Source organism: Homo sapiens, chromosome 16 (assembly GCF_000001405.40).
Source record: "Homo sapiens chromosome 16, GRCh38.p14 Primary Assembly".
In the NCBI taxonomy this organism is placed as follows: domain Eukaryota; kingdom Metazoa; phylum Chordata; class Mammalia; order Primates; family Hominidae; genus Homo; species Homo sapiens.
The window spans coordinates 7,764,307-7,770,940 of NC_000016.10; the positions used below are offsets into that span (position 1 = coordinate 7,764,307).

Sequence of the window (6,634 nt, forward strand, 5' to 3'; positions counted from 1 at the left end):
TTCTTACATGTATTTGATGTTTCATGCATCCTGAAATACATCAAACCAAGCTGCACCCCAACCACCTTGGGCACATGTTCTCAGGACCTCCTGAGGGCAGTGTCACGGGCCATGGTCACTCATATTTGGCTCAGAATAAATCTCTTCAAATATCTTACAGTTTGACTCTTCATCAACATGGTGTCAGTTAAAATTTTGCAATGGCGGTTTCAAGAGTGAGGAAGAGCCGGAGAGAGCGGAGCAGAATTGTAGGCAAGGATGTTGGCCGTGCCAGTGTTTGAGCTCTGGCATGACATTGAACATGAGTGGAGTTAAACCAATATAAGATATAATCCTTTGTACTGAGGAAATTAAATCTCTTACACAAGAAAATATGCCCTTTACCTATGACAAGTCACATAAATTAAAGATGCCCCAATTTCCTTCCAATTCCAAGCATCCTTTCATTGGCCCAGGAGGCAAGAGTCAAAACTTGCCAGGGAAAGTTGGATCACTGTATTCTCTGCATTGTAAACGTATGCCATTTACTTACTGCATTTAGGTAAAGCTTAAACTCCTCCACCTGCATGTGTCTTTAAACTTCCTCACTAAGATCCTGTGGCAACCAATTAAGTAGAAATCAATTTACTGGCAGAAAACCCTTCTCCAGGTTTTCTCAATGAGAAGTCTTCTAAAAGATTCTGTATGTTCGAACTCATGAAACTTTCTGAGGCACCTCCACCCAACTCACAAAGCATATGGTCATAGGCTAAAGAGAGGTAGAATGGGGTAATAGAGACATGCTATGTTACTAACATGCTGTGTTAGTAACTCTTAGCCTCAAACAAACCCCCTGCCTTAGCCTCCCAAAGTACTGGAATCACAGGTGTGAGCCACGGCAGTGCTGGCCCAGGCTGAATTTTGACTCTTTTCTCTGAAAAGACTCATTTATCCAAATTCTATCAACTGACTACCTTAATGTCCATAAGCTAAATCTAAAGAACAAAACAAATCCAAAACAAAGACAAAAGCCACGATTCTACATTACATCTGCCTAATAATGAAAAACACACTCTTCACCTTTTTCACCTGTACCCTTATTTATAGGAGTTTGTAACAGGGTCTGAGGCTGAAGGTATTTTTTTTTTTAGCCATTCTAATTCAATTAGTCGGCAATAAAAATGAACAAAAGAAAGCCATTATGCAAATATATGGCCATTCAAAGTCAGAAATTGGGGTCAGGAGGGAGAGGATGGGAAGAATAAAGACTGGGAGAATTTTTTTTTCTTGGCGGAGTTCATTCCTGTTTTATTGTAATATTAATTTTCTAAATGATTACTGATATTCAAAGTCAACATACGGGATGGTCGGTCTTATCTCTCACATTCCAGCTGTACTGAGTAATACATTTCCTTAAAAAAAACACCTCTGTTTTTTTTACTTCCGGATCTAGAGCAGGGATTGGCAAACATTTTCTATCAAGAGCCAGAAAGCAAATATATTAGGCTTTTGGGGTCATGATTCTCTATCACAACGACACAACTCTACCACGTAGTGGCACAGGCAATATGCAGACAAATGGATGCCAATTAAACTTCCTATACAGACGCTGGCACTTAAATTTAATAAAATGTTTATGCATAATGAAATATTTTTCTTCTTTTGATTTTTTTTTTTTTTTAGATGGAGTCTCGCTTTGTTCCCCAGACTGGAGTGCAGTGGCGCGATCTTGGCTCACGGCAACATCTGCCTCCCAGGTTCAAGCGATTCTCCTGCCTCAACCTCCCAAGTAGCTGGAATTACAAGCACCTGCCACCACTCCCAGCTAATTTTTGTGTTTTTAGTAGAGTCAGGGTTTTGCCACGTTGGCCAGGTTGGTCTTGAACCCCTGACCTTAGGTGATCCACCCACCCCGGCCTCCCAAAGTGCTGGGATTACAGGCGTTGAGCCACCGCGTCCAGCCTGAATTTATTTTTTTAACCATTCTTAAGTCAGTACAAAAACAAGCAGTGGGTGAAGTTTATTGACCCCTGCTCTTCACCCATGCTACTCTAAGTGTGGTGCATGGACAGCTGCACCACCATCACCTGGGAAATTTTCTCAAAAGCAGCGTCTCAGGTCAGACCCAAACCTATAGGATCAGAATTTGCCTTTAAAGGTCCCCAGGTGATGCACATTAAAGATTGAGCTGCACTGCTCCCTGGGAATGTTTCTTAATTTCACCCTATCAGGAACATCAAGGAGCCTTGTTAAAAAGGCAGATACCCAAACACTTCCCCTGGAAATTCTGACGCGAGAGTATCTGGTTGGGGACTAGGAATGTGTGTTTTTAACAGGTTGTTCAGTTGGTTCAAATAAATGTCTAAATTGGAGTATTTCATTTTGACAGCGCTCTCTAGGGAAGCCACCCCATGCTCTCCTTTGCTTCCTTTTAAACCTGCATGGGCCCAGACAAGCAAAGGTGCTTAGACAAAAACTGTAGTTTTGTAAATTAGAAAGAACAGAGCAGCTTCCTTGATTTGCAACCCCTTGACCACAGAGAGATTAGTGCCTGCTCTCACTCTGGGCTTCCCTGCCTTCTCCCCATCTTACCCCCTCCTCAACACTACCTGCAGGGATCTTCAAATACGTTACCCTGAGACTTGGCAAAAAATGGGCCAGCATCCCTGGACTCGAAAAGTGTAACTAGAGCCCCAGGGAGGGAAAAAAAATTGTAGGAAAAAATAGAGAGTGAGAAAGGGAGTGGGGAGCATTAGAGGGAGATGTCCTCCCCCTTTCTTTGAAACAGCTTTAAACAGTGAACCACATCTGGTTTTCATAAGCACCAATACCAGGTGTAAGACATTCTGTGAGCAATCACCTCTGGCTGATGGAGTGGAATATGGCACATTATCAAGAATAAATGAGACAAAATATTCCAATTACAGATGCATCCTACTTCTTTCTGTCTCATGCCAAGCGTTTGTCTCAATCGTTCAAACTACAAATTACCCCCATGCTCACGAAGGACTGCCGAGTGGGCAAACACCAAGGTTTCTGCTTAGAAAGAGATCGTTGGTGTTTGTTAACATTGGAGAATTTGTGTTTGGAGAAACGAGGTGGTTTGAGTAGCTTGTCTTTTCCCACCAGGACATACGGCACGACGTTGGGTGGGGATATTCCAGGCTCAGATAATAATGCAGAAATTCAAAGGATATTAACATCAACATTAAGCTGTCTTAAGAGTAATATGGAAATTGCAATGTTATTTTATTTGTTGGAGATCAAAAGGATCTATGACCTAATTAGGGAACTGGCTAAATAAATTATGGCATATCAATAAGAGAGGCTAGGCAGCCAGAAAGTTAGGTTTTTAAAGAATATTGAATAACATGGGGAAAATGGTCACAGTAAAATAAAAATAATAGCACTCTCATTAAAAATAATAGCCACCAGTGATTGAATCCTTATGACATGCCAGAAACTCTGTTAAGCACTGTATGTGTGCCCCAGCATATAATTTACAACAGCCCTGGGAGGTAGGTGTAATTTCCCCAAAATTTCAGAAAGTTAAATAACTGGCCCGAGATCAAACACTCAGCGTGTGGTGGAACTGAGTAGCAAATTCAGGCCCGTTCAATTCCAGAATCTGAGCCTTTAACCCCTATGCTATTATACTAATTTCACTTTCAATGAAATTAAAACAAATGGGAAATGATGAAAACTGTGTTTGTTTGTTTGTTTTTCCTGGGTGGTAGGAGTAAAGATGATTGTTTTGTTTTGATTTGTCCTTGGTTTTCCAAATTTCCTACATTCTTTTCTATGTACATATTCTATAGTGCAAGTCTCCTATATTCTGAAACAGAATCAGAAAAAAATAAACTTGGTTTAAAATGTTTCATTTCTAGGCTGGGAGCGGTGGCTCACACCTGTAATCCCAGCACTTTGGGGGGCCGAGGTGGGCGGATCACCTGAGGTCAGAAGTTTGAGACCAGCCTGGCCAACATGGTGAAACCCTGTATCTACTAAAAATAGAAAAATTAGCCTGTAATCCCAGCTACTCCAGAGACTGAAGCAGAAGAATTTCTTGAATCTGGGAGGTGGAGGTTGCAGTGAGCCAAGATCGCACCACTGCACTTCAGCCTGGGAGACAGAGTGAGACTCCGACTCAAAAAAAAAAAAAAGTTTCATTTCTGTTATTTCATATTTTCAATCCTTGATTGCTTGTAAACAGTTTGTAATTTTAGCCACATCAATTTGATAGATTGAAAAATAATTAATGTGCTTTAAAACATGTGTAAACAGGGTGGGTGGGGTGGCTCATGCTTGTAATCCCAGCACTTTGGGATGCTAAGGCAGGAGGATCACTTGAGTACAAGAGTTTAAGACATCACAAGACCTCATCTCTATAAAAAATTTAAAAATTATGAGGGCGTGGTGGTGCATGCCTGTAGTCCCAGCTTCTCAGGAGGCTAAAGTGGATAGATTACTTGAGCCCAGGAATTTGAGGTTGCAGTGAGCTATGACCCCATCACTGTACTTCAGCCTGGGTGACAGTGAGACCTTGTCCCTAAAATGTATATAAACATGTTTATATGTTTATGTTTGATAAAATGTTTTATATAGTCCATTAATAAAATATACTTTATACATACATAAAATATAAATATATACATACGTACTTAGAGATTGTATATATAAAATGTATAAACGATTCTCCTAGCTGTAACTACTGTCATCATCATAGAAAGGGCAGATTTGGGGACCCACCTACCTCTGGGGTACACAGAACCCGCAAATCCAGTTCACAGTGGGGTCTGGCATTTTAACCTGGGGTACTCAAAGGAAGTACAGCAAGGCGATGTGTGGGGAGAAAGGTGTAACACCCTTTCAATCACCTGTCACAATCATCACAGCTATAACAAAAGACACTCCTGTAACAAAGGACAGGTTAACAATAAAAAAGTGTAACAAGGCCAGGAGCGGTGGCTCACACCTGTAATCCCAACACTTTGGGAAGCTGAGGTGGGTGGATCATGACATCAGGAGTTTGAGACCAGCCTGGCCAACATGGCGAAACACTGTCTCTACTAAAAATACAAAAATTAGCCTGGCGTGGTGGTGGGCACCTGTAATCCCAGCTACTCGGGAGGCTGAGGCAAGAGAATCACTTGAACTTGGAAGGCAGAGGTTGCAGTGGGCCGAGATCACACCTGGGGGACAGAGCGCGACTCCATCACAAAAAAAAAAAAAAAAAAAAAAAAAAAGTTTGTTTTTTTTTTTAAAAACACAGTTTTATGTGACATGGGAACGGTCAGAAATGAAGACCCAAGGGAAACTGTCTAACTTTATGCTTAGATTTGCTGAGGAATAGGCCACCGTGTAGAAATGTGATTGGATAAAATGTGTTTGATCTACTGGCAGTAGACTGAGGTGGAGGGGACCCAGCAAGGTCTGTCTATTCTGATTCTTCCTGGCCCCGATGTGGCATTCCTTTCCTCTGGGTATAGTACAGGATGCCTGTCACAGGAGGGTTTTCAAGGGAGAAGGGAGAAGGTCAGAGAGTGACCTTTCTAGGTTTTATTGGCTTGCTTTGGGGAAGAGGAGCTCTAGTTGCCGTGACTCACCTTGGAGAAGGGGAATTCTGGCTTCTATGACTCCCTTCTGGGGAGAAAGAGAGGCAAGAGACAGGAGGATGAGAAAAGGTCAGAAAGACCTTGTTTCTGAGGCCCTTGCAATCTCCTTCAGCTCAAAGTACACAGCATACCAAGGCGCCATACTTTGGGGTATCATGTTCTGAGCCCTGACAATGGCTAATTTGTAAGCTTGAGAACTAAGTACCTATGTTCATGCACCAGTTGGCTGACTGTGAACATGTTTGAAAAAAAAATTGAGTCTTTTGCTCATATGTAAAAAGGGAAATTAATATCCACCTAATAAGAGCATTTTGGAGGTTAAGTGGGTTCGTACTGTACAGACTGGTGGCATCAAAGGTGGTATGTAAGTGATGAATCATCATTGCCTCATTTGTTTGTTTGTTTGTTTTTTTGAGATGGGGTGTCACTCTGTTGCCCAGGCTGGAGTGCAGTGGCACTATCTAAGCTCACTACAACCTTCGCCTCCTGGGTTCAAGCAATTCTCCTGCCTCAGCCTCCCGAGTACCTAGGATTACAGGTATGCGCCACCATGCCCAGCTAATTTTTGTAGTTTTAGTAGAGACGGGGTTTCACCATGTTGGCCAAGCCGGTCTCGAACCCTTGACCTCAGGTGATTTGCCCACCTCGGCTTCCCTAAGTACTGGGATTACTGGCGTGAGCCACATGCCCGGCCCATCATTCCCATCTTTATCATTAGAATTAGAATGAAGGGGGTTGCTCCTACCTTGGCTCCAAATATGAATGCTGGCCTCATGAGCAGCAAGCAGTCATCCTTTCTTTTTCTATCAAGAATGAGCTGCACACTCGCTTCACGCCAGGCTCTGCAGAGGCATAAGAGGCATCATATGAAGATGGAATTGAGAGTTGAGGAGATAACCATGTGGAATAGGAAGATTCACAACCCAGAGCAGAAGAAAGTGACATCCAAGAAGGTTTCCCAGAGGGGTGACATCCAAGCTGATAACACTTGAAGCATGACTACAATTCTCCAGACAAAAAGAGAGAGATGATTCCAGGCG

The 6,634-nt window shown here is 42.4% G+C and overlaps 3 annotated features.

The window, feature by feature from the left end:
• Positions 213-935: an enhancer, noted in NCBI's record as "OCT4-NANOG-H3K27ac hESC enhancer chr16:7814521-7815243 (GRCh37/hg19 assembly coordinates)". NCBI's record gives its function as "activates a minimal SCP1, AML or CMV promoter by ChIP-STARR-seq in naive H9 embryonic stem cells {active_cell/tissue: H9 hESC(naive)}" and the evidence as "EXISTENCE:reporter gene assay evidence [ECO:0000049][PMID:30033119]".
• Positions 936-1,657: an enhancer, noted in NCBI's record as "OCT4-NANOG-H3K27ac hESC enhancer chr16:7815244-7815965 (GRCh37/hg19 assembly coordinates)". NCBI's record gives its function as "activates a minimal SCP1, AML or CMV promoter by ChIP-STARR-seq in naive H9 embryonic stem cells {active_cell/tissue: H9 hESC(naive)}" and the evidence as "EXISTENCE:reporter gene assay evidence [ECO:0000049][PMID:30033119]".
• Positions 5,189-6,388: an enhancer, noted in NCBI's record as "CDK7 strongly-dependent group 2 enhancer chr16:7819497-7820696 (GRCh37/hg19 assembly coordinates)". NCBI's record gives its function as "activates an origin of replication core promoter dependent on BRD2, BRD4, P300/CBP, MED14 and CDK7 cofactors, with strong dependence on CDK7, by STARR-seq in HCT116 cells {active_cell/tissue: HCT116}" and the evidence as "EXISTENCE:reporter gene assay evidence [ECO:0000049][PMID:35650434]".